The sequence below is a fragment of the Homo sapiens genome, chromosome 15, assembly GCF_000001405.40.
Source record: "Homo sapiens chromosome 15, GRCh38.p14 Primary Assembly".
NCBI classification, from domain to species: domain Eukaryota; kingdom Metazoa; phylum Chordata; class Mammalia; order Primates; family Hominidae; genus Homo; species Homo sapiens.
The window spans coordinates 34,209,296-34,235,554 of record NC_000015.10 but is presented as its reverse complement, the minus strand read 5'-3'; the positions used below and the strand labels follow the sequence as shown (position 1 = coordinate 34,235,554).

Here is a 26,259-nt window from a genome sequence, read left to right as displayed (position 1 = left end):
GCTGAGGCAGGAGAATCACTTGAACCTGGGAGGCGGAGGTTGCTGTGAGCTGAGATTGTACCATTGCACTCCAGCCTGGGTGACATGAGCGAAACTCCCTCTCAAAAAAAAAAAAAAAAAAAATCATTTTATCAGATTATCCATAGTCAAGTGAAAAAGCTCAGGATCTCAAGTTTTTAACGTTGACTTTATGGCTAGTTGTCTTTTTACCTTAACAACCTTTATTTCTTCCCCACTCAGGGACCAGTCCAATGTGAGGCGGATGCATACAGCAGTGAAACTCAACGAGGTTATAGTTAACAAGTCCCATGAAGCAAAGCTGGTTTTATTGAATATGCCAGGGCCACCCCGAAACCCTGAGGGTGATGAAAACTGTATCCTTTCCAAGAGTGGGGCTTCCAGTAGGGAAAATCTCCTTAACCTCTTTCTGAGATAACTAGGTAACAATAAAAGTCATTGTCTATGCCCCACTTTCCCTCTTTAAGGAAGGGAGACTTAAAAGTCCTAGGCAAGGATTTTTACAAAGTTATAAGATTAAACTCTTTTAGGGGAGTTGGGGCAAATATAATTCAGTTCTAGTTTTAGGTGGTGTATTTGCAACATGACATCTAATATTCAGTGTATAAAACCCTTCCTGACAATCCTACAGACAGCATACCCACATCCTTTCGCCTTTTTAGGTTCTACCCGCTTTGCAAAGCCTTTCTTTTGGATAGAGTTAGGGGAGAAGCTGAGATAGAACCTCCTTTAACTGAGGGGAAAAAAGAGATAGGGATTCTTCCTCATACCTTCATCCCAGGACTCCTGGGATACGGGAAACCCTTCAGCATTGACACATAAATTAGCTTATTCCCACCAGTACCATTAAGAAAGAAGAGGTTTAGGCCAGGTGTGGTGGCTCATGCCTGTAATCCCAGCACTTTGGGAGGCTAAGGCAGGTGGATCACCTGAGGTCAGGAGTTCGAGACCAGCCTGGCCAACATGGTGAAACCCCGTCTCCACTAAAAATAGAAAAGTTAGCTGGGTGTGGTAGCAGGTGCCTGTAATCCCAGCTACTCGGGAGGCTGAGGCAGGAGAATCACTTGAACCAGGAGGTGGAGGTTGCAGTGAGCCAAGATCGCACCATTGCACTCCAGCCTGGGCAACAAGAGGAAATTCTGTCTCAAAAAAAAAAGAAAGAAAAGAAAAAGGTTTAAAAAGAAAAAGACAAACCGAACTGGCAGAAAAATCTGACTTGAGCAGCTTCACTTAGAAATTACTTGGGTTCTCTCTAGGAATCTTGTTAGCTGCCCTATTGTGGCTTTTCTTCTTCTTTCATCATTTTTATCTTATTTAGAGTAACACTTCTAGGTTTTCCCATTTTTTAAATACACAAATGGGAGTCTGGTATTATGTATGCAAAAGGACTGGATCTCTGGTTACTTCACAGGGTTAAATTCAATCCAAAGTTCAGACTTTTCTGAATATATAATAATTAAGCAGCTAATTTTGTAGCTCTATGATCAGATAACCTCAGATTATGATGATGCCAGGTTTTAAGTTTGTGCTCTTCTTTTGCCTGTCTCCTTGACAAGTTTTGAAGACATGGAGTTCCTAGAGGTGCTTACCGAGGGACTAGAGCGAGTCCTACTTGTCCGGGGTGGTGGCAGTGAAGTGATCACCATTTATTCATAACCTACTCTGAATGACCGTGCTTGACCTGTTTTCTTAAAAGGCCTACGTCCTCCATGGAAGTGCCAGCTCATTACTACCACTCCCACTCAACTAGAAGCCTGTGTTCTGTACACATCATACTGAACTCTTGATGAGCTGAGCCTCAAGTACCTGTGTAAAAGAGCTCCCATCTGATCTGCAGTCATTACAGAAAAAGCAAATATTCCCTCAACATCAGAACAATGCTCAAGTCTTTCAAGCCACGTCTGAGCAGTCAAAGGCAAATTAGAATTAACAAGCTGAGCCAATAAATGAATTGGTAAAAGGGATGCTAGAAATTCAACTGAAGAAAAAAAGCAAGTCAAGTACGTATTCAGCATTAAAGATGAATCTCAGAAGTCATGGTTCAATGTTGACACTGTGAGGATAACAACTAGAGACAGCTTCATCTTACTAAAGAATTTATGGTCAAGTATATTTGGACCTATTATCCTCGGCAAGCCAAGATGCAAACATTTTTTAGCTATATTTCTTTAGTATACCCACTGCTGTAATTTTATATTAGGATACTAACTTGAAACATGGCTGCAGCCTCTACTTCTTCAAAAACATCCCCCCAAAATACCAGATTTAAATATCCAAATACTGTGTCAGTGTATACTTCAACTGTTTTGTTTCTCTTAACTCAAAACCCATTCTGTCATTGTAACACAGGCAGTGTTACCATGGAAATTGTTTTTGGTAAGGTAAAAATTATTTCTTTCAGGTTCCTTTCAAATGGCCGAACTAAGAGAACTCCAAAAGGAAGCTATTAACATTTACTGAAATAGTCTGTGGTTCTCTATACAACATGGACAAAACATACAAGCTGTTGTCTAAGAAATGCAGGTCATGGTGCACATTAATCAACAGGTTCTTCTCCCCCCGCCCCCACCCCCGCGCCTTTTTTTATGCCCTCTTATTAAGCACAGGTCAAAAAATCTTAAGGAACAAATACTAGGAAAACTGGCTAAACATCCTTCCCTGAAAGCACTGGACCATCTTTTAAAGGGCACATCTAGCAATGGAATTGGAAGTTCTAGAGCCACACTCTTTCTTTAGTGCCAACGTTACTGAGCGGCTACTCTCCTTACCTACTTTACTAAAATGGCATACAGATTGGCATTGACCTGTTGAAGAAATTTTACCACTAAGAAATCTTTTGCCTCATCTACAAAGCCATAGTTAAGACTTGAGGCATTCAACTTAATGCCAAGTATAAGCATTTCCCCCTTTTTCTTTCAATTTTATTCTTCATTCTGACTACAGAAACTTGGCCCTGAACTACGAGATTAGCCAAGCCAACAGTCTTCTAATTTGTTTTCAGAAACTTCAGGCCGGGTGCCGTGGCTCACACCTGTAATCCCAGCACTTTGGGAGGCCAAGGCAGGTGAATCACTTGAGGTCAGGAGTTCGAGACCATCCTGGCCAACATGGTGAAAACCTGTCTATACTAAAAATACAAAAATTAGCTGGGCATGGTGGTGCATGCCTGTGATCCCAGCAACACGGAAGGCTAAGGCAGGAGGATCATTTGAACCCAGGAGGCGGAGGTTGCAGTGAGCCAGGATTGCACCTCTGCACTCCAGCCTGGGTAACAGAGTGATATGTTTCAAAAAGAAAGTTCAGTGTGCCAAGGAAATACTTGTGTAAGCTCAGCTTTTTATTTACTAATATACTGATCAAACATCTGGCTTACAAGCATAGGGAAACTACTTATGTGGCTGGCTGAGCAGTAATTTCAAGTATGTGAAATCTTCATTTCTTTTACAGAATAGTTATTTAGAGAAACTTTTCTTGCCTGTATTCATGGCTGTTTTTGAATTTCAATTTATTAGTCATAAATAGTGCCACTCTTCTTTGATTACTAAATAGGACATGGAGCAAGCTGACCTAGGTGTCACAAATTATTCATTTGACCTGTAAGGACAGAGAAAACCCTTCAATATAGCTTAAGAAATTGAGTAATTTTGGGCCGGGTGCAGTGACTCACGCCTGTAATCCCAGCACTTTGGGAGGCCGAGGCAGGCGGATCACGAGGTCAGGAGATTTGAGACCATCCTGGCTAACACGGTGAAACCCTGTCTCTACAAAAATACAAAAAAATTAGTCGGGCATGGTGGCGGGCGCCTGTAGTCCCAGCTACTTGGGAGGCTGAGGCGGGAGAATGGCGTGAACCCGGGAGGTGGAACTTGCAGTGAACCGAGATTGCACCACTGCACTCCAGCCTGGGCGACAGAGGGAGACTCCATCTCAAAAAAAAAAAAAAAGAAAGAAAGAAAGAAATTGAGTAATTTTGATTTGTTCCCTTTGCTTGCTTCAACCTCCAGGCCCACTGAGGATGGCAAAGCGGATAGGATCTTAAGTCTTTTTTTCTGTTACTTCCTACAGATGGTAGAAGCATTATTTACAACTCCCACTGCAACACTCCATTGCTTAGTTGAGTTTAACAGTAGTGAGTCATGTCCTGCAGGATCCAGTATCTTTTTTTTTTTTTTCCGAGACGTAGTTTCGCTCTTGTTGCCCAGGCTGGAGTGAAATGGCACAATCTTGGCTCACCGCAACCTCTGCCTCCTGGGTTCAAGCGATTCTCCTGCCTCAGCCTCCCGAGTAGCTGGAATTACAAGCATGTGCCACCACACCCAGCTAATTTTGTATTTTCAGTAGAGACGGGGTTTCTCTACTGAAACTGATGTTGGTCAGGCTGGTCTCGAACTCCCAACCTCAGGTGATCCGCCCGCCTTGGCCTCCCAAAGTGCTGGGATTACAGGCGTGAGCCACTGTGCCCAACCAGGATCCAGTATCTTAAAGGCCCATACTGTAAAGGTCAGCCTGCCTAGGAATTCTGCCACATTTACACACACCCCTGGCCAAAGTAATATTTTTTTTTTCCATGTAGAACAAATTATGGGCAGAAAGTAAAGTTAGTTTTAGAAGTGCTGTTTGTGGTTGGAGAATTGTAAAAATCTTTTAAAGGGATAAGGGAATTAGTGGCTTTTAATATAACCACTGCTTCAGCCCGAAACACAAAATCACTGTTACATGGAAAACTGGTTATTAGGCCAGATTTATATTCATGTCTGTCTAGAGTATTTCATGTGTGTATGTGTTGCTTACGTTGTCTGTCTCCAAAGTCTCTCATCTCTTTTAATCACTGCAAATAAAGCAATACTGAAAACTTGAGAGAATGCACCTTAGGGGAAGGGGCTATTTCAAGACAGAAAACAAAGGAAATACCTGCCTTTTGAATAAGATCCCGCTTTTGAGTCTTACCTATGACTTTACCAGGGTAGATTAGAAATACACATCCTCCTGCTGACCCTCTGCCTTCAATAGCTATCTATCTTAAAAGCTGAAGTTTGAACTGCAGCATCTGCTTGACAGGTGCCAGGTTCCTTCGGCAGGGGGACGATCACTCTATATATCTTCCGTTGCCTCAGATTCCTGTGGCCCAAGGATCCCACCAATCCTCGTTCCCCCTAAACATGCTAACAAAAATCCCTTATCGTGGGTATTAAAATAATAACAGTTACACTGTATGCATATTTATGTGCTCCTTTTGTCTGGTTTTTCTTTTCATCATGTATAAGCTGAATTCAGCATTAGTTTCTCACATCTTCCCCCAGGTATCCCCAACAGAATTTTTATGTCCCAGCTTGTATTAAATAGAAGTGAAATATTAAGGAAAATAAGGAACTTGTGCAACTTTTTTTATGCATTGTTCTCAACCATTTAATTTATTGAAAGGAGATGCTGCAACAGTTCTTGATTTAGCAGCAGTTATTCTCTTGTTTACATAGTTATGTTTTTTTGTTGTTGTTTTGCTCTGTACTGGAAACAAAAATAAAGTTTTCTACATTATTTTCAGCCTTGGGTTATGGTATAGTTTCTTTGTGTTTGTCGTAATATGCACATTGTCCTTCTAGGACCTGTCACCCCACCATGGAGAAAAGAGTCTTTTGGTTCTTTTTAACATAAGTGATTAGTTTAAGAGTATGCTGAGGAGCCACTGGGCTTAAAGAAGGATGTAAATAAGACCCAAATACATAGGGACCAGGCGCTGCTTTCTCATGTTCACAAAAGCAGTCCTCCACCACTGAACTCCATTCTCTGAAAGAAGAAAGAAAGAATAAATAGGTGAGTGGCAAATGAGTGTTAAAATAACTTCCTGAATCAATTACTTAATACTTTAACCACAAGCTCTATTTTGCCTATCCTTAAAAAAGAACTTCCAGGCCAGGCGCAGTAGCTAATCTTAGCTAAACACTTTGGGAGGCCAAGGCAGGCAGATCGCTTGAGCCCAGGAGTTCAAGACCAGCCTGGGCAACATGGCAAAACCCTGTCTCTACAAGAAATACAAAAATTAGCGAGCCATTGGGGTGCACACCTGTAGTCCCAGCTACTTGAGAGGCTGAGTGCCTGAGCCCGGAGGTTGAGGCTGCAGTGAGCCATGATCACATGACTGCACTCCAGCCTGGGTGACAGAGCAAGACCCTGTTTCAAAAATAATAACTTGGCCAGGCATGGTGGCTCACACCTGTAATCCCAGCACTTTGGGAGGCCGAGGTGGGTGGATCACCTGAGGTCAGGAGCTGAAGACCAGCCTGGCCAACATGGTGAAACCCTGTCTCTACTAAAAATACAAAAATTAGCCAGGTGCAGTGGCAGTTGCCTGTAATTCCAGCTACTAGGGAGGCTCAGGCACAAGAATCGCTTGAACCTGGGGGGCGGAGGTTGCAGTGAGCCAAGATCACACCACTGTACTCCAGCCTGGGCGACAGAGTGAGACTCTGTCTCAAAATAAATAAATTAATTAATTAATTAAAAATAATAACTTAAAAACTCCTAATGGCTCTTATTTTTTAAGAAACCCTAGGCCAGGCGCAGTGGCTCACGCCTGTAATCCTAGCACTTTGGGAGGCAGAGGTGGGCAGGTCACTTGAGGTCAGGAGTTCAAAACCAGCCTGGCCAACATGGTGAAACCCCATCTCTACTAAAAGATACAAAAAAATTAGCTGGGCATGGTGGCAGGTGCCTGTAATCCCAGCTACTTGGAAGGCTGAGGCAGAATAATTGCTTGAACCCAGGAGGCGGAGGTTGCCGAGATCATGCCACTGCACTCCAGCCTGGGCGACAGAGCAATACTCCGTCTCAAAAAAAAAAAAAAAAAAAAAAAGAAACTCAAATACCAACTCCAATTTCCTACCATCAAGTAGGTCAGCTATTCACTGTATACTACAACTACCCAAAATTCAGCTTTTCTTTTGCCTTACCTCAGGGGGCTCAATGAAGGCTAACCAATCCGATGCATGTGTAGGTAACAGTCCCATGGACTGGCACTTGTAAACAGCCAATGCCAAACCCATCAGGTTCCCAATGAGATAGACCAAACCCTGAAGAAACTTCTGGCTTGAACTTTCTAACATCTTGAAAGCTGTTGCGGTAACAGAAGTTGTCAAACCAAAAGAACTCTTTCCCCCAATACGAATCAAGCCAACTGTATATTAAATTCATATAGACAGACCCATAGTAAGACAGCAAATAGGACCATTAAAGGCAAACAGAAAACCATGGTAAGCACTACACTCCCCTCCATGCCACCACCATTACCCCACTCCCCTATATACCTGTTAGCCAAAAACTGTCCCTAAGAATTTACCTTTAATTCTTCCTTTTTTTTGAGATGGAGTCTCGTTCTGTCACCCAGGCTGGAGTGCAGTGGCACGATCTCGGCTCACTGCAACCTCTGCCTCCCAGGTTCAAGTGATTCTCCTGTCTCAGCCTCCCAAGCAGCTGGGATTACAGGCGTGTGCCACCACGCCCAGCTAATTTTTGCATTTTTAGTAGAGACAAGGTTTCACCATGTTGGCCAGGCTGGTCTCGAACTCCTGCCCTCAGATGATCCACCCAGCTTGGCGCCTCCCAAAGTGCTGGGATTACAGGCGTGAGCCACCATGCCCGGCCTGCCTTTAATTCTTCAAACTTATGGAAGGGTTATTGTTTCAAGAATACTTACTGGCTGAAATGGCCATAAGTGCCTGAATGGGTCGCCAGGCCATCATACACACCATCATAGTAGGGAAGATGGAGATAGTATTGCCTGCCATGTACATGATGAAGAGATTCATGGGAATCTGTTTGAGGGGACCCAAGGCGATGTCCCAGCAGCGCTAAAACAAAACACACAATTTTAACCCTCTGATCACTACCCTTAGTCCCACATTTGCCATATCACTGATGCTAAATCACATGAACGGAATTCCCAACTCCCTGCTTCTAACTGAGCTGACTCCTCAATTCTACGACCTCTTCCCTTCTCCACGTTGCCACAGGAAGGCTCTCCTACTCAAGATAAAGTATCCTTACCATCTGTTATGCCTTTCCCTATAGGTTTTCCAGATGTCATTTTTTTCTCCTGATTTTGGAAAAAAGATCTCCCTGCTTTTGTCCTGGTACTTATGTATCTATCAATGTCCTATCTACAACTGAAGAAATAGATAAATCCACATAATGGGAGATTAGCACACCTCAGTCAATAACTAATAGAACCATCGAACTAATTTAGTTCCAGAAATAATAGAATTAGCAGGCAAATCAAGACATAGAAGATTTGAATGACATTAACAAACTTAACCCAACTGACATGTAACACTGCACTCAACAATTGCAGAATTCACATTCTTTTCAAACAAGATATTCACAAAAACTGACCACTCGCTGAGCCATGAAGAAAATGTCAATCTCAAAGAATGCAAATTGTACAAAACATATTCTTTGACTACAATGATATTAAACTAGAAATAATTTTATAGTAACTAGAAAATCTCTTATGTTTGGGAATTAACAATGATACATGAAGAAATTATAATGGAAAATAGATTTATATGATAGCAAAAGTACCACATTTTAAAACTCGTGGGACACAGCTAGAGTTCTGAGAAATTTATAACCTTAAATACATACTACCAGGTTGCTGCAAAAGTAACTGCGGTTGTTGCCATTAAAAGTAATGGCAATGTGGCCGGGCGCGGTGCCTCACACCTGTAATCCCAGCACTTTGGGAGGCCGAGCTTGGTGGATCACCTGAGGTCAGGAGTTTCAGACCAGCCTGGCCAACGTGGTGAAACCCCGTCTCTACTAAAAATACAAAAAAATTAGCTGGACGTGGTGGTGGGTGCCTATAATCCCAGCTACTCGGGAGGCTGAGGCAGGAGAATTGCTTGACCCTGGGAGGCAGAGGTTGCAGTGAGCCAAGGTCGTGCTATTGCATTCCAGCCTCGGCGACAACAGCAAGACTGTCTCAAAAGAAAAGAAAAAAAGTAATGGCAGTCTAAAAATAAACTAAGCATCCATTTCAAGAAACTAGAAAAAAACCCAAGTATTTTTGAAAAGATTAATAAAATCAATACTGGTGATGGGTACAGTGACCTGTAAAAATAAATGAAAATAATTTTTAAAAAATCAATACTGGTGAGCCTGATGAAGAAAGGAGAGGAGACAAAATATTCAATATCAGGAATGAAAAAATGAACATCACAGATCTTGCATATATGGAAGTGATCATATTATGAACAACTTTATATCAATACATTTGAAATTTTAGGAAATGGATAAGTTTCTAGAAAAAATGTAACAAAATGACAGGAGAAATTAGAAATATAAATAGCCCCGGGCCGAGCGCGGTGGCTCATGCCTGCAATCCCAGCACTTTGGAAGGCCAAGGCGGATGGATCACCTGAGGTCAGGAGTTCAAGACCAGCCTGGCAAACATGGTGATACCCTGTCTGTACTAAAAATACAAAAATTAGCCGGGCTACTGCAGAAATCTAGATGAAGGATGGTGGCTTGGATTAGGATGAGAGGTGAACACAGGAAAAAGTAGTAGGTAAAGCCAACAGAGTATCCTGACAGTTGGATATGTGGTGTAAGGGAACCAGAGTAGAAAAAGGATCACTTCAACTGGAAGATGTTGCCACCAAAAGATAGTTTTCAACCTACTTTCTTATACCTTATGTTCCAAACATCTTCTATTTTTCAAATTATTAAGCACTTTTGTAGCTGATATATAAAATACCGAAATACCAGCCTCAAGCAGTTTAGTTTCCAAATCTTCAGGATAAGAGCTATCTACGTTAACTCCACCTAGGAGAAGAGGATGAGTGTGTAACTCAGGACTGGCCCATGGGCTACGGTAACATCTATACCTCTGTACCTTCTCCACCAGGATCCGGTCTGTCTCTTGCACGCTGGTATCAGGCACTTGCTTGTCCAAGTAACCGACTGGGTAGAGCGAGTCTCCCTGGCCACTGCCCCGGTCACTTCGACCCCTAAAAAACCAAACCAAGAAACTAAAGCTGCAACCTCCGATACTTCTTATCCCACATTTCCTGATCTACCAATCATAGGAATAAAGATCTTCAGATGCACCTACTCAGATTAGACCAAGCCCCCTCGTATGTTCCTCAGTCCTTTGACTTATCAGGAGGACTGATGTAAGCATTGTTTGAGCAGAGAAACTTCCACGGCAGAAAAGCCGCTACCTCCCCAGGTGATGTCTGTGTGCCACCCATCTTTTTCAGAGTTATGCCTGAGGGCTCAGGTCTCATTACTCTGGTGCAGTTCTGGGATGAACAGTGATGTACAGCTTGCCCAGGTGCCTCACCTGCTGCCTCCTCCAGGCCCGCTTAGCTCAATGGCCCACTTGAAGCGCCGGCCTCGGTTAGCCACCAGGCCCCCCTGGGCCGTCATGGCAACAGCTGCGTCCTATAGCCTCGATGCTTCTCAGTCCAAAGCGTACTCCACAACAGGCCCACCAGCGTTCTCCGCTTTGTCTCACTCTGCAAATGCACTTCCGGCGCGTGAATACGACGTCATTTCCGCCCTGGAAATTGGTGGTGCTGTGGGTTGAGGAGTCCGGGTTTGGATTTAGAAAAGCAGGGAGGAAAAAAAACCAGGCAAGACTTAGTGCTTCCTAAAGCCACTTCCGCGCGCTCCCCTTTTGAATGTCCTTGTTATGTGTTCCCTGACCTCTGAGGTGCACTTTATGGGGCTGAAGGAAAGCCCATACTGACTCAGCGTTAAGAATTGGTGGGCGGATCACCTGAAGTCAGGAGTTCGAGACCAGCCTGGCTAACATGGTGAAACCCCGTCTCTACTAAAAATACAAAATATTAGCCGGGCTTAGTGGCGGGCGCCTGTAATCCCAGCTACTTAGGAGGCTGAGGCAGGAGAATCGCTTGGATCCGGGAGCCGGAGGTTGCAGTGAACTGAGACCGAGCGATTGCACGCCAGCCTGGGCAGCAAGAGCGAAACTCTGTCTCAAAAAAAAAAAAAAGGAAGCCAAGAAAAGCTTCTTAACCTCCTACGCGCTCCCTGGAACAAAAGATTCAAATCCTGGGTTTAAATCCTAGCTTGACCTTGAGCGAGTTACTTAGTAGTTTCTGAGTATTGAATGTCCACTGTGTCATGTGTTTATTTCATTTCACTTGCACAGTAACCTTGCGAGGTAAACAGTTCTAACCACATTCTGCACAAAGGCAAGGCAGCATTGTGGGCATGGAAGGGGACATGGGCTCGGTATTCAGTTAGCCTGCGTTTGTTGTTGTTTGTTTTGGGTTTGTTTTTTGAGACAGGGTTTCACTCCGTTGCCGAGGCTGTAGTGCAGTGGCGCTATCACGGCTCACTGCAGCCTCGACTTCCCCGGCTCAAGCGATCTTCCCACCTGAGCGTTCCTTCCAACCTGAGCGTTCCGAGGAGCTAGGACCACAGGGCGCGCCACCACGCCCCAGTCTTGTTTTGTTTTGTTTTGTTTTGTTTTGACAGGGTTTCGCTATGTTGCTCAGGCTGCTCTCAAACTCTTGGGTTCAAGTGATTCTCCTGCCTTGGCCTCCCAAAATGTTGAGATTACAAAGGCATGGGCCACTGCACCCAGCAGATGGCCTCCTTTTGAATCCTGGTTTCACCACTTAATAATTGTATGACCTTGGGCAAGTTGAATTTGTTTCAGCCTCTTCATGTAAAAGTTGGATAATCTACCTACTTTCAAGGCTTGTGAGATTAGTGCCCACCACATATCTGGTGTTTGGTTTGTTTGTGTTTTTGTTCGAGACGGAGTTTTGCTTTTGTTGCCCAGGCTGGAGTGCAATGGCACTATCTCGGCTCACTGCAACCTCCGTCTCCCGGGTTCAAGCAATTCTCCTGCCTCAGCCTCCCGAGTACCAGGGATTACAGGCGCACGCCACCACGTCCAGCTAATTTTGTATTTTTAGTAGAGATGGGATTTCACCGTGTTGGTCAGGCTGGTTTCGAACTCCCGACCTCAGGTGATCTGCCTGCCTCGGCCTCCCAAAGTGCTAGGTTATGTGGTGTTTTTAATGATGTATCACATCATTACCAAATAACACCATTGATGTGTTTTTAATGACGTGTCATTAAATAATGTATGTCATTCTTTAAAGTGATTGGGTTTTGTATGGTATACCTTTTTCATAATATAGCCTATTATTGGACATTTAAATTGTTTCCTGTTTTCCTTCCTTTTATAACCAGTGTTGCTGTGAACATATCTGTATGTCTTTTCTTATTTCCTAAAGTTATAGTCCTAGAAGTGAAATTGGAGTTGCTGGATCAAAGAGTATGCACATTTTTAAAGAATTTTCATTTTAAATGCCCACAGGAGCCAGGCGTGGTGGCTCACACCTGTCATCCCAGAACTTTGGGAGGCTGAGGCAGGAGGATTGCTTTAGCTCAGAAGTTCAAGACCAGCCTAGGCAACATAGTGAGACCTTGCCTCTGCAAACAACAACAAAAAAAATTAAAATGTCCACTAGGAAAAATGGCACCATTTACATTTCACAGTCTATAATTTTTTTAATAGTTTGAAATGGTACTGTATTATTTTTTAATTTGTATTTCTTTGACTCCAAGTTATTCGATATGGCTGGAGTTAGGGGGAAGGAGATGCTGTGGGAGGTAAGGTTGAAAAAGGCTTCCTTGGCCAACAAAAAAGTTGGGACTCTTGAAGATGATGATGATGTAAGAGAGGCTGAAGATTGCCACCTCCACTTTATTTTCTGATTTTAAAAATATGTGTTCATAGCAGACTACTTAAACAAGGCAGAAATGGAAGTCTTTTGCCTCTCCAATCCATCCTAAAATGTGTATCTATCTGATTGTAGGAAGACCTAACTATAGATTGTGTTTCTGCTCCTTTCTACTTTTTGTCTTTACCACGTTCTGTCTCATGAACCTTATATTTATCTCAAGCTTCTGACCCTATTGGGCATTCTTCTTTGTTGCATTATATGCTGCATAATAGCACTTACCACATTGCATTTTGTTTGTTAAAGTCCCCTGAGCACTTATTTCTACCCCTCTATAGGCAACCCTAAATCCCCCCAGGTCAGAAGCTATATATTATCTTTGAGCCTGTTGCCTAGAACATAGAAAGTACTGAATAAATGTTTAGCGAATGTGAGTAAATTAAATTGAAAGTAAACAAACACCAAGATGTGAATGTACTATAACTACACTTGTGCAAAATAAAACATAAAAATGGATATACATTCTATTGGGGCAATAATTTTCACGCAATTTTGTCTAATTTTCAAGATAATCTTATTACACTTTTCTTTTTTTTTTTTGAGACAGAGTCTCACTCTGTCACCGAGGCTGAAGTGCAGTGGCACGATCTTGGCTCACTGCATCCTCTGCCTCCCAGGTTCAAGCAATTTTCCTGTCTCAGCCTCCTGAGTAGCTGGGATTACAGGTGCCCGCCACCACGCCCTGTTCATTTTTGTATTTTTAGTAGAAATGGGGTTTCACTGTGTTGGCCAGGCTAGTCTCAAACTCCTGACCTCAGGTGATCCACCCACCTCGCCCACGCAAAGTGATGATTACAGGCATAAGCCACTACACCTGGCCTTCTTATTACATTTTAATACTTTTTTTTTTTTTTTTTTTTTTGAGATGGAGTCTTGCTCTGTTGCCAGGCTGGAGTGCAATGGCGCAATCTCGGCTCACTGCAACCTCCGCCTCCCAGGTTCAAGCAATTCTTCTGCCTCAGCCTCCCAAGTAGCTGAGACTACAGATGTGTGCCACTACGCCTGGCTAATTTTTGTATTTTCAGTGGAGACAGGGTGTCACCACATTGGCCAGGCTGATCTCGAACTCCTGACCTCGTGATCTGCCTGCCTCAGCCTCCCAAAGTGCTGGGATTACAGACGTGAGCCACTGCTCCTAGCCACATTTTAATAATTTTTTTTTACTTACTATTTTTTTGAGACAGGGTCTCACTGTGTTGCCCAGGCTTGTCTCAAACTCCTGAGCTTAAGCAGTCCTCCCGCCTTGGCCTCCCAAAGTGCTGGGATTACAGGCATGAGCCCACACCTGGCCCTGCTTTAATAAGTTTTAAATGAACACTTTTGAAAACATTAAGTTAGTCATTGGAATCATATATTCTTTCTACTTAAATACTCCCCTACTTGCTATAAAAATGTGTAAACTATAACCTAAATTAAAGTTGCTTTGGGCTGGGTGCTGTGGCTCACGCCTGTAATCCCAGCACTTTGGGAGGCCAAGGCAGGTGGATCACGAGGTCAGGAGTTCAAGACCAGCCTGGCCAAGATGGTGAAACCCCGTCCCTACTAAAAGTACAAAAAATTAGCTGGGCGTGATGGCAGTCATCTATAATCCCAGCTACTCAGGAGGCTGAGGCAGAGAATTTCTTGAACACAGGAGGTGGAGGTTGCAGTGAGCCAAGATTGTGCCACTGTACTCCAGCCTGGGGGACAGAGCAAGGCTCTGTCGCAAAAAAAATAAATAAACAAAAAATAAAAAGTTGCTTTGGCCTCAGTGGGAGTACTCTGGATCATTTATTTCTTTATCCTAGGAATCCTCATAGTATTATTTGTGAAACTCCGTTCCAAAAAATGAACACATCAGGACTAGGCTGAGGATGGTTCCAAGATTAGATAAATTTGAGAAATTCTACATATTATATTCTGCACACACACTCAAGAGAGTCTTAGTGCCGTTAGTATAACATATGAAAACAACAAGAAATGGTTTGGTAAAGAATCTCCTTTAATTTTGTTTCCCAATCTACTTGAGTAAGGAACCAGTTTTTTGTTGTTTTTTTTTCCTTAATACATTCGTTAACATCCAATAGAATCAGTGTTCCACAGAATACAGTGAGGGCAGCTGCTCTATATGCATGCTAGAATTCTTCAGGAGAAAGATGAAGGTCTCCCCTATAAAGCTTTGCTTGTTATTTTTAAAATATTAGAAGATCATTAGAAATAATAGGTTATTTATGGAAATGGAGCTTCAAGTTGGAATTAAAGTTTTAAAGTTTTTGCACAAATTTTGTTTCGCAAGGAAAAGAAAACTAGTGTAAGATTTTCCAGGCCTGGTGTGGTGGTTCACCCTTGTAATCCTTGTGCTTTGGAAGGCTAAGGTGGGCAGATCGCTTGAGGCCAGGAGTTTGAGACCAGCCTGGGCAATATGGTGAAACCCTGTCTCTACAAAAAATAAAAAATCAGGCTGGCAAAGTGGCTTGTGTCTATAGTCCCAGCTACTTGGGAGGCTTAGGTGGGAGGATCACTGGAGCCCAGGAGGTCAAGGCTGCAGTGAGCCTAGATCGTGCCACTGCACTCTAGCCTGAGAAACCTGGATTTTAATCCTGACTCCAAATGAACTACATGATTCACTTTGAATTAGGGACTCTCTTGACTTTAATTTCTTCATCTATAAAATAAGAGATTTATACTAGATGATTTCTAAGGGTGCCTTCTAGTTCTGAAATATATCATACTCGTTTTAAAAAAAAAACATATAAAGTGTACTATTCTTTCCATGCATATACACCCGAAAAAAAACACTCAGTAATAGACACTCAAAGGAGTAATGGGATTTCAGATAATTTTTTAAAATCGTGCCTTCCTACAGTTTTCCTAGGTCTCTGCATTGTGCAGGTACTACTTTTTAGTTAGAAAAACATAAATATTATTAATTATAACATGACATAATTCCAAACAGAAATGTAATGGTTCTCTGTTATGAATACACATGAGAATCAACTTGAGAGCTCTTAAAAATATTGATGCTTGCCGGGCACGGTGGCTCACGCCTGTAATTCCAGCACTTTGGGAGGCCAAGGCAGGCGGATCACCTGAGGTCAGGAGTTCGAGACCGGCCTGACCAACATGGAGAAACCCTGTCTCTACTAAAAGTACAAAATTAGCCAGGCGTGGTGGCGCATGCCTGTAATCCCAGCTTCTCGGGAGGCTGAGGGAGAAGAACCGCTTGAACTCGGGAGGCAGAGGTTGCAGTGAGCCGAGATCTTGCCATTGCACTCCAGCCTGGGCAACAAGAGCAAGAGCAAAACTCCGTCTCTCTCTGTCTCTCTCTCTATGTCTCTCTCTCTCTCTCTCTCTGTGTGTATATATATATATATATATATATATATATATATATATATATATATATATATATGCCTGGATGACACCTTTAGTGATTCTGATTCATTTGCTTTGGGTGAGGCCTGGGCATCAGTATTTCTTATGGCTCTCAAGGTGATTCTGCTGTGCAGTGAGGATTGAGAACAGCTGATTTAAAGCATTTTGTTGCTCTAAAATAACAAGGTTTGAATTTACACAACATAATCTAAGCAGACAATCCGATTTTAAGAAACTTCTTGTATGCATCCCACTGGACTAAACTTGAATTGGAAAATGATGGAATATTGAAATCATAAAATAAGTATTGCCGGGTGCGGTGGCTTACACCTGTAATCCCAGCACTTTGGGAGGCCAAGGTGGGCGAATCATGAGGTCACGAGATCGAGACCATCCTGGCTAATACGGTGAAACCCCATCTCTACTAAAAAAAAAAAAAAAAAAAAATTAGCCAAGCGTCGTGGCAGGTGCCTGTAGCCCCAGCTACTCGGGAGGCTGAGGCAGGAGAATGGCGTGAACCCAGGAGGCGGAGCTTGCAGTGAGCCGAGATCGTGCCACCGCACTCCAGCCTGGGCGACAGAGCGAGAGTCTCAAAAAAAATAAATAAAAATAATAAAATAAATATTAAAATTTTCCTTACTTTGTGCCTTTGAGCAAATATGATTTTAATTAAAGAAAGTATAAAAAGGCAAACCACAATTCTATAACTCATATGAGTTACCTTGTTTGACTTTGTATAATTTGTGCCACCTGCACAGTTGTTGTGTTTTTGTGTTTCATCCTTTACCTCTTCCTAAGACCCAAAGAAGCTATTTCATGCCATTCTTCTCTGAACAGTTGTATTTGGATTGAAACTTAATAAGAAAATTTTCTATTCAAACAAACAGGTTTGCAAGAATGGATCCCTCTGAGCGGGGGAGGGGGGTGATGGGGCTTTTATAGATATGTCTTAAGTTTTTGGCCTATACCATTTCACAATGTCTATATAATAATTCTATTTTGTCATCCTTCCTGGGACAACCAGTTTGCCTAGTGTGCTCTAAAAGCTCCTAAGATTCTTTGCAGCTTCAAAAAAACTCGTCTTCCATTGCAAATCCCAGTTATTTGTCTTAGTTTAACTCTACTATCATTATCTTCTAAAAAAGACCAACTTAAAACTATTTCATTCATGACACAATTTACTCTGCATCAGTTGTGCGGTCTAAAGAAGAAACTTTTTTTTTTATCCATTTTGACTGTTTGCATTTCGAACCCCTTTACTGAAAAAACACTTTGTATAAGATCTTACCTTGCTAGTTACTGTTGAGGTACCACATCATTTCTACACAGATTACATTCTTTTTCAATTTCTATTTCGTGGCTCTGCGGTGTCATGAAATGCCCTTGTCAGCAGCGACATGAACCAGTAGTATGGTGCTGGGAGAAGATGTTGGTAATACCACTCTTCCTTAGCAGTTACCTTTCCTTCATTTCAGGAGGCCTATTGTCCAATTCACATTTTAACAAGTTCTCATTATAGCAGCTTCCCTCCAGCACTTGGTTAGGAAGTTGGAAGGGTTGCCATTCCCACAGATCTCATTAATGGATAAGAATGACAACCATAGCATGAGTCATAATGATACATTACTAGTGGCGTGACAGGTCTCTCCAAGATCAGTTACTCTGGATTCTTTTTGGTGATTAATTTCAGCTATCCTGAAAGTGGGCTATACTGTCTGTACACAAAGTAACTAAACCACCAATAAAGGTCCTTTGGGGCATTTTTTCCTATGTGCTAATTTTAAAAGGCTTCAATCAGTTTCGATATAAAGCATTGTTTTATAACCTGAGTTTGTTTTGTTTCGTCTTTCTGAGATGGAGTTTTGCTCTTGTTGCCCAGGCTGGAGTGCAATGGCACCATCTTGACTCACTGCAACCTCCGCCTCCCAGGTTCAAGCCATTCTCCTGCCTCAGCCTCCTGAGTAGCTGGGATTACAGGCATTGCCACATGCCTGGCTAATTTTTTGTATTTTTAGTAGAGACAAGGTTTCACCATGTTAGCCAGGCTGGTCTTGAACTCCTGACCTCAGGTGATCCACCCACCTCGGCCTCCCAAAGTGCTGGGATTACAGGTGTGAGCCACCACACCTGGCCATAACCTGAGTCTTTTAAAGGAAGATTGTTATGGACTGATTGTTTGTGTCCTCCCAGAAATCATATGGGATGATCCTAATCCTCTATGGGATGGTATTTAGAGATAGAGCCTTTGGGAAGTAATTAGAGTTAAATGAGGTAATGAGGGTGGATGTCTCATGATAGCATTGCCCTTATAAGACACCCAAGAGCTCTCTGCCAAGGCCAGGGAGCATTACTGCCTGAGCTCTGCCTCCCATGAGATCAAGGAGGGGGCATTAGATTCTTTAGGAGCTCAAACCCTATTATGAACTGTGCATGTGAGGGATCTAGGTTGTGTATTCCTTATGTCTTAATGCCTGATGATCTGAGATGAAACAGTTTCATCCTGAAACCACCCTCCCTGCCCAGCTCACATTTGTGGAAAAATTGTCTTCCATAAAATTGGTCCTTGGTGCCAAAAATGTTCAGGACCACTGGTTTAAAGCACCCAGTATTTTGTTATGGCAACCCAAGCAGAATAATACAAGGATGAAATGAAATTCAGAAGAGTTGGAGAACAATAGGTATCTTTTAATGTTTGAAAGATAAATAAAGCTATTCCTTAAAACATGTACATAAATGTAGAGTTGTTTAATTTGCTCATTATGTAAATAGGAATGTACTAAACACTGTCTATTGACTTGCTTTTTTTACTTAATCTATTTTGGATATCTTCCATGTCTATCATGCAGATCTACCTTATTCTTTTTCAAGGCTGCAGAATGTAGATGTGAGATAATTTAATTAGTCCCAAATTGATAGACATTCAGCTTGTTCCCATTTTTCGCTATTACAAAAAAATGTTGCTGTGAACATCGTTGGGCACTTGTCAACACATTTCTGTAGGACAGTGATAAAATTAGGATCTCTTCCCACAGTTTTATACAGTTAAAATGTTGATGGGTTCAAATAATAGGCTCTCTAAAATGTACTGATTTACAGTTCTAAGGGTTTATTGATTAAATCATTGCTAGAGTCTTTCAGTGAATTGAATAATTTCCTCCCCACCCCCAAATTCGTATCCACCCAGAGTCTCACATCAGATCTTTGCAATGAAGGTCTTGGCTGATACATTGGTTAAGATGAGGTCATACTGGATTACAGTGAGACCTAAATCTGATGACTATAGCATCCTTATATGAAGAGGTCACACAGACACATAGGGAAGAAGGCCATGTGATGAATGGAGACAGATTGGAATGATGCAGCTACAAGCCGAGGAAGCTAGGAAGAGGAGGCAAAGGATTATTCCCTAGACCTTCAGAGGGCGCATGGTCCTGTTCCGGAGGCTGTTTGGACTTCTAGCCTCTGGAACTGTGAGATAATATACTTCTGTTGGTTTAAGCTATTCAGTTTGTGGTACTTTGTCACAGCGACCCTAAGAAACAAATACGTCTCTTTCTAAAAGAGAGTCCATTCAGATGTATTAAGGGTTAGCTTAAGGAGAAAATGATAACAATAAAATAATAACAGGTAAAATAATATTGCCATAGTTACAGAATTAAATCCTAAACTTTAAAACATTTACATGAAAAGTCGTTTTTTTTGTTTTTTTCCTGAGACAGAGTCTCGCTCTGTCGCCCAGGCTGCAGTGCAGCGGCACGATCTGAGCTCACTGCAACCTCCGCCTCCCGGGTTCACGCCATTCTCCTGCCTCAGCCTCCCAAGTAGCTGGGACTACAGGCGTCCACCACCACGCCCAGCTAATTTTTTGTATTTTCAGTAGAGACGGGGTTTCACCGTGTTAGCCAGGATGGTCTTGATCTCCTGACCTCGTGATCCGCCCGCCTCGGCCTCCCAAAGTGCTGGGATTACAGGCGTGAGCCACCACGCTCGGCCCACAAAAAGTTTTACTTAATTTCCTAATTGCTATGATTGGTTTCTTTAATAAAATGGTTTTAAAAAGTAACTTTAATTTAAAAGCAACACATTTATTATATAAATGAGAAATACAAATAGGCAAAAAAGATAACCAACAAATCCTATCATGCCAAAGAAAAAACCTTTCATGAGCATTTTGATTTAGATGTTTTCAGACTTTAAAAATTAATATTTAGACTTATTTAATACTGTATACTGTTTTATAAGATGCTATTTCATGAAGAGCGGTATTTTTACTTTTTAGAAAAGGCACAGGAAAAAGAATGAGTACATTTTTATTTCGGTTTTTTAAAATGTTTCTTATAGCTCTGCCAGATTTTCAGGCCTGTTGCTTTCATCCAGCCCTGATCATGAGGCACCATGCCTAATCCAGCTTCCACAGTCCTCTCCTCCCAGCCTACTGCTGCAGCCATACCCTATTCTCCAGGACCTGGACTAGTCCTGACACTCTTCTTAGATAAGAATAATTCTTAATAGTATTTGTGTTCTCCCATTTAAAGGATTAAGCGTTCAGATAAGTTTAGGAAACACTGCATGTATCTTTCTTTAAAAATTGACAACAAATGTTAGGTTTTTAAAGACCGAGAAGTGCTACAGTAAAGAAATATTTGTTTACTTCAGCAGTTACCAAACTTCTGTGGCCAAGGAAACCACTTTCTTCTTTTTCTCTTCTTTTTTGAACCTATCAACATCTCTTAGAACTGATGTCCTGAAGAACACAGAGCTAAGTTGGGGAAGTAACTCAAGCCAGTTTAGGTTCAGGCTCAATTGTGTTACTGCAAGAGCGGTTCTGCCTTTGTGTCTGGCTCCAAGAAGTGTCTTAGTAATCTTTCTACTGCTCCTGTCTCTTGAGGCTAGGGACCTGCTTTGCTCTTTTAAGTCCTCTTCCCAAGGACTTTCTGCTTCTGATGATTGTTGCCCTGCTAACTGCTAGCGCATTTTATTTCCTGCTTGCCTGCTCGCCAGGAACTCCTCTGTACTTCACCTGTTATGGGGTCCCAGTTGTACTGAACATCTCCCCTCCCCCCACCACCTCCACCAGCAACTGCATACATAATTGGATTTGTTTTGCATATGATAGGACTTTTCAGGTACCCTGTTCTGGTTACCAGGCCATCAGCATCACAGTGAGTCTGTTCCGTGCCTCCTGACCCCACCCCCAACATTGACACTTCACCCTCTCCTGCACCCTGACCCCCAGGTAGTCTAATTCCAGGACTTCCCTTTTCCAAGGCAGCAGTCAACCATATTGTATTCTTCTCTATCTTGGAAAAATCACTAAACTCAGTTTTTCAGAGAGAGACACAATCACTGCTCTAGGCATTGTTGTATATGTTTTATATAGGTTATCCCACTTCCCAACAGCCCCTGAGAGGAGAGTGTTATCCCCATTGCACATTAAGGTAAAAACCGGTGTAGAAACGGCCCAAAGGCAGCAATCTAGGTTTTAAATAGAGATGAGCCTTGCTCCAAGGCTAGTCTAACATGCTGCCCCCACCACGTTCCACCTGGTGACAGTATAGTCTAATTGCAGGAAATGTACTTGCAGGAGGAGAGAGATGGTTTCTTGAGATTCGGATTTGAAAGTCTATAAATACCAAATATTATCATAGTCATAAATGTTTTTGGGTCACCTGATCTCAGTTGTAGATTTACAATAGAGGGCTGTAGATGTAGCAGAAACAAGCTATCTTAAAAATAGGATCCCCCATCACTCAACACCTCCCTACCACCCACCCTTCACCCCGCAAAAAACACTACCAGGGGTTTTGTTTTGTTTTTTGGGTTTGTTTTTGTTTTTGTTTTTTTTGCTTACTGCTTCTGCCATTACTTCCTTCCACAGCCTGCAAAGGAAGGTAGGGAAGGGAGGAGCAGAAAAAAGGGATTGACTTCTCACTTTGACTGCTAAAGTCAACTGCCTAGAATTTTCCAAAGGTGCTGAGGCTGAGCAGTGTGGAATGGGTGAGCTGTTGCTGTCTTTTAGGTCCCTTCAGGCATTGTTCTCTGTCAGAATCGGCATTGGTCTCAATGAGAATGACATACAATGCAGTAAATGATATGGCTTCTAGGACCCTAGACGGAACTACACTTTTATACCTAATGTTATTGCTATCAGTCATTCCTCCCTACCCCTGGCCATCCAGCATCCTGGTAACAAATCAACTCTTCTTCTTCTTTTTCTTGCTTTTTTTTTGGTTGGTTTGTTTTTAAGAGACAGGGTCTTGCTCTCTTGCTGGACTACAGTGCCATAATCATAGCTTACTATAATCTTGAGCTCTTTGGCTCAAGTGATCCTCCCACCTCAGCCTCCCGAGTAGCTAGGACTACAGGTATGCACCACCATGCCCGACTATTTTTTAAATTTTTTGTAGAGTTGAGGTGTTGAAATGTTGCCCAGCCTGGTCTCAAACTCCTGGCCTTAAGCGATCCTTTCACCTTGGCCTCCCAAACAGATCAATCCTTCTAAAGAACTGACTTAGTCATTCCCCTGCTCAATTGTCTTTGCTGTCTCCTTGCACCTCAAACACTTTGCTTGATAATTCCAGGTCTTCGCAACCTATCAGGTGCCTTACGTACCTTTTCAGTCTTCACTCCTGTGACTCTTGCAAGCACTTTTCCCTCCACTCAAATCAGAATAGACTGCAGTACTAGAACTTACTTTGCATTTCCACCTCTCTGTCAGGAACATCCTGTCTGTCCTCTCCAGTTCATCAGGCCCAGCTCCACCATCCCTCCCCTGCTTGCCATCAAGCAGTGTACACAGGACTGCATGGCAGCTCTTTTCTCATGTGGGTCACTCTACACTGTGTCCTTGAATGATTCTGCACCCCGTAGAGAGGGGGATGTGAGGCAGGAAGGCTAACTTAGCTGCGTGTTCTCTCAGAAGGAAGGAATGAAGGAATGGCCAGAGGAGTAGACACCCTTGGAGACTGCCCACCACGAAGGCTATCAGTAAACCACCTTTTTGTACACAAACACTGATGTAGGGATTTTTTTAATGTATGGGCTGTACCTTTTTTTAGTAAGAATTCAAATTTTATTGAGCCCCAAGGGGGAAAAATTCAACTTTATTGATAGGAAAAGTATCAATGAAGAAAGTTGCCTTGCATTTTCATCACTAAAATGACAGTATTTGTATATATTCCAAAAGTAGCAATGCAAAGGCAGTTTTCCTTATTTTTATGTGAAATTATGAGATGTGAGGGCCTGGGCTGCCCATCACTGATACAAACTTTATAACTTGGCTCTGGAGATTAACCTGCCTGAGATCCTGTGCCCTAACAAGCTCCAGAAATGAGAATATCAAGGTTCTTCTCTGGCCTCCAGCAACTGGAGGCCTTGTATTAGCTGAGATTCTTCTGTGTTAACACAGCAGATTCCCTGAGTTCCAGGACTCCATTACTTGTCTTAATTCTTTAGCCTCCCTTGAGGATAACGATCATATAGTACACTCTTTTTACCCTATTCTTCTGATGAGAGGCCAGCACAGTGCCTTTTGCATAGTGGGTCATCAAGAAATTCCTGTTCATGATGATGAAGAAATGACTTGAGAGAAAGTGACTTCACCCATGTGTGTTGAATTTTTATTTTCTTTAAAACAACACATCTACTTAGTGGAAGTCATATTCAGGAAATATTCTTTATTGTACATACATGGAACCTAGGGCTCCAGCTTCCTTTACTCACCTAGCTGGACTCTCTCAACAGTACCACCTGTTAACAGATGTGGCCCCACACATAGGCATGTATGTGCCTTGCTTATGCTTGGTACAATCGAGAAGCTCTCAAAGGTGTTGCTTATGCCAAATATCCTAAAACTATTTTCCCACTGCCCTAAGGTCTTGCCTCAATTTTCAACATGACTTTTTTTTTTTTTTTGATTAAGTAAGGACTCTGTTACTAGGGAGGAAAAATACATAAAGTTATAACAACCTGATGACATCTTAGTTCTGATCAGTTTATCTGACAGGCCTCCCATTGCTCGGAACTCCCACGGCATTTAGGAGATACCTTTTATCACTGCAGTGTATTGGAATGATCTCTTTTCCTGTTTTTCAAGCCACTGAGAGCTGCTTCAGGCGATTTCCAGCACCAGGCACAATTTGCCTGGCACATGGCGGGCCTTCAAAAAGATTGTTAAACCAAACTTAAGCAGCCTGCTCCCTAGGCAAGCCTTGAGTTCCGAAATGAGTGCCTGAAAAAGCAAGCCAAGGGATGTAGTCTTGTGGTGAGGAAGTATTTCCACCAAAGGCACTGCTTGGTTGGTTTCTGCAAGGGGCGAGAGAACCACCATAGACAAACTTGCTCCTGTCACAGCTTGGCTAACCTTGACCGGTGGCTTATCTATGAAGGTGAGCAGCCTGGTTCTAATGAAGAGAACTGCCCTCAGTAATTAAAAGTTCATCATCTACAGACCCAACCCTAACCTCATAATCTAATTTAGTGTTCCCCATCCCAACAAGACCGAACCAGCTTCCTGAGGACAGGTTCTGCATCATGTACATTTCTTGTGTTCTTAAGAGTCTAGCACAAAGTTTGGCACATAATAGGAACTAAAAAAATGATGACTAACAAACACGAAGGGCTTACCATATGCCGGGCACTCCTCTAAGCATTTTATATGTATTAATTCATTTAATCCTCACAACACTAAGAGACAGATACTATTGTTATTGTCCCCATTTTACAGAAGGGGAAAGCAAAGCACCTAGGAGTTTATGTGACTTGCTCAAGGTCACATAGTTCCACAATCCATGCTTTTAGAAACTATGCCTTAGAGCGTTTATTAGTATCATTTTTATTTTTATAGAGACGGGGGCGGAGGTGGGGGGTGGGGGGTAGTTGTCCCCATGTCGTCCAGGCTGGTCTTGAATTCCTGGGCTTAGGTGAACCTCCTGCCTCGGCCTCCCAAAGTGCTGGGATTACAGGTGTGAGCCACTGTGCCCAGACTCTTAGTGTATTTAAATAGGTGTGAATGAATAAATCTCTCCCGGAACCATAACTTTATAGGAAATTGTTTGCACCTCCTGGTACACCACTAAGGCACGGTCTCCCACACTAGGTTGTTCCTAGCGCACGGTCGGTCATTCGTTGACCTTTACCCACCCTCAGTTCCTATCGCAGTATCACTTCTCGCGCCATAGCAAGGCTACCGTGCGAAGCTCTAGCCACCAGGGGGCACTGTGGCCACAGGTCCTTTTCCCCTCCGGCCCTTAGCGACCCCCAGAGGGGCGGAGCCAACGTTGGGCGGAGCCCGCGAGCCGCCCACAGCGCCAGCTATCCCGGCGGGCCGCGCGCGCGGCCGCGTTTGAATGGCCCTGAGTGGGACTCGGCCCAGAAGCCGAGGGACTCTCTAGGCTGCCGGGCGCTGGTCGTCAGCGCCGAGGCTGGGCTGAGGCGCCGCGGTACCATGAGGCGCCGGTAAGTGACTGCCGAGCCGGTGCGAGCCCCGCGCCCGCAGCTGCCCTGCCCTGGCAGGGCTACTCCAGCCGGGCTTGGCCGCGCCCTGGGCCCACCTGCAGGCCCCGCGGCGGCCTCGGCTCGGCCGGGCTCGCGGCAGCGCTGCCGGGTCCCGGGGCGGGGCGGCAAGGCCGGGGCGGAGCCCCTCTGCCGGTCCCTGCGGGGAGAGTCGGGCAGCGGGCGCTGGGGGGCTCCAGGGGACTGGGCCGGGAGAGGCGTGGACCGAACCTGTTGTCACTTATTTATCTTCGGGTGGAGTCGACAGCTGCACCTGGGGAAGGGGAAGGACAGAACGAGTGTGGGGCGAGCATTTTTGAGGACAGGTTTTCCGCAGAGCGCCTAGGCCCGGCCCAGGCATTTCCTTATTTTCCGACGGGTCCTCGGATTCCTGACGGATGAGCTTTTGTTTCGCAGGACAAAAACTTGACATAACTGCATAAGAATTGTCGATTGCAACTTTAAAAACCTTACTGTATTTTCTGAAAAGTTGTTCTGTAAAGTATCTAGGCTTTTACTACGCTCTTATATTGCTTAAATATGGAGATAACAAAGAGTTGGTTTGTTTTCTTGTGGCTTATAAAGTTCCTTGAAAACAGAGATACCTATGTCAGTTTCT

The 26,259-nt window shown here is 43.2% G+C and overlaps 3 protein-coding genes across 22 annotated transcripts in view, besides 3 other annotated features; 2 read left to right on the top strand and 1 right to left on the bottom strand.

The window, feature by feature from the left end:
• The window catches only part of SLC12A6 (solute carrier family 12 member 6), a 108,274-nt gene extending 102,503 nt beyond the window's left edge, over positions 1-5,771 (top strand). For 8 of the 9 annotated variants that reach the window (NM_001042495.2, NM_001042494.2, NM_001042496.2 and 5 more), the window contains 2 exons: positions 241-374; positions 1,583-5,771. In NM_001042495.2, the coding sequence (NP_001035960.1) occupies positions 241-374; positions 1,583-1,674 (226 nt within the window). In that variant the 3' untranslated portion in view covers positions 1,675-5,771. The remainder of the gene's footprint in view (positions 1-240; positions 375-1,582) is intronic. The other variant, NM_005135.2, reaches the window with a different exon arrangement.
• On the bottom strand, positions 5,399-10,539 carry EMC4 (ER membrane protein complex subunit 4). Of its 4 annotated transcripts, none has more exons than NM_001351373.2 (5): positions 10,355-10,539; positions 9,897-10,019; positions 7,709-7,862; positions 6,966-7,126; positions 5,399-5,802 (listed from the first exon to the last, which is right to left on the bottom strand). In NM_001351373.2, exons 3-5 carry the CDS (start codon positions 7,818-7,820, stop codon positions 5,767-5,769), a joined length of 309 nt encoding a protein of 102 aa, NP_001338302.1. In that variant the 5' UTR covers positions 7,821-7,862; positions 9,897-10,019; positions 10,355-10,539; the 3' UTR covers positions 5,399-5,766. The 4 variants fall into 4 exon arrangements, 3 of the variants coding, with proteins under 3 accessions (NP_001338302.1, NP_057538.1, NP_001273349.1); NM_016454.4 differs by having other exon boundaries at positions 9,905-10,019; NR_147140.2 differs by lacking the exon at positions 6,966-7,126.
• Positions 10,176-10,225: an enhancer, noted in NCBI's record as "active region_9175". NCBI's record gives its function as "activates an Ori minimal core promoter by ATAC-STARR-seq in GM12878 lymphoblastoid cells {active_cell/tissue: GM12878}" and the evidence as "EXISTENCE:reporter gene assay evidence [ECO:0000049][PMID:35858748]".
• Positions 20,916-21,511: an enhancer, noted in NCBI's record as "OCT4-NANOG hESC enhancer chr15:34506245-34506840 (GRCh37/hg19 assembly coordinates)". NCBI's record gives its function as "activates a minimal SCP1, AML or CMV promoter by ChIP-STARR-seq in naive H9 embryonic stem cells {active_cell/tissue: H9 hESC(naive)}" and the evidence as "EXISTENCE:reporter gene assay evidence [ECO:0000049][PMID:30033119]".
• The window catches only part of KATNBL1 (katanin regulatory subunit B1 like 1), a 69,423-nt gene continuing 68,622 nt past the window's right edge, over positions 25,459-26,259 (top strand). For all 9 annotated transcript variants that reach the window (XM_017022575.3, NM_024713.3, XM_047433041.1 and 6 more), the window contains exon 1: positions 25,459-25,604. The gene's annotated coding sequence lies outside the window, so the exon portion shown is untranslated. The remainder of the gene's footprint in view (positions 25,605-26,259) is intronic.
• Positions 25,515-25,914: a silencer, noted in NCBI's record as "silent region_6277". NCBI's record gives its function as "represses an Ori minimal core promoter by ATAC-STARR-seq in GM12878 lymphoblastoid cells {active_cell/tissue: GM12878}" and the evidence as "EXISTENCE:reporter gene assay evidence [ECO:0000049][PMID:35858748]".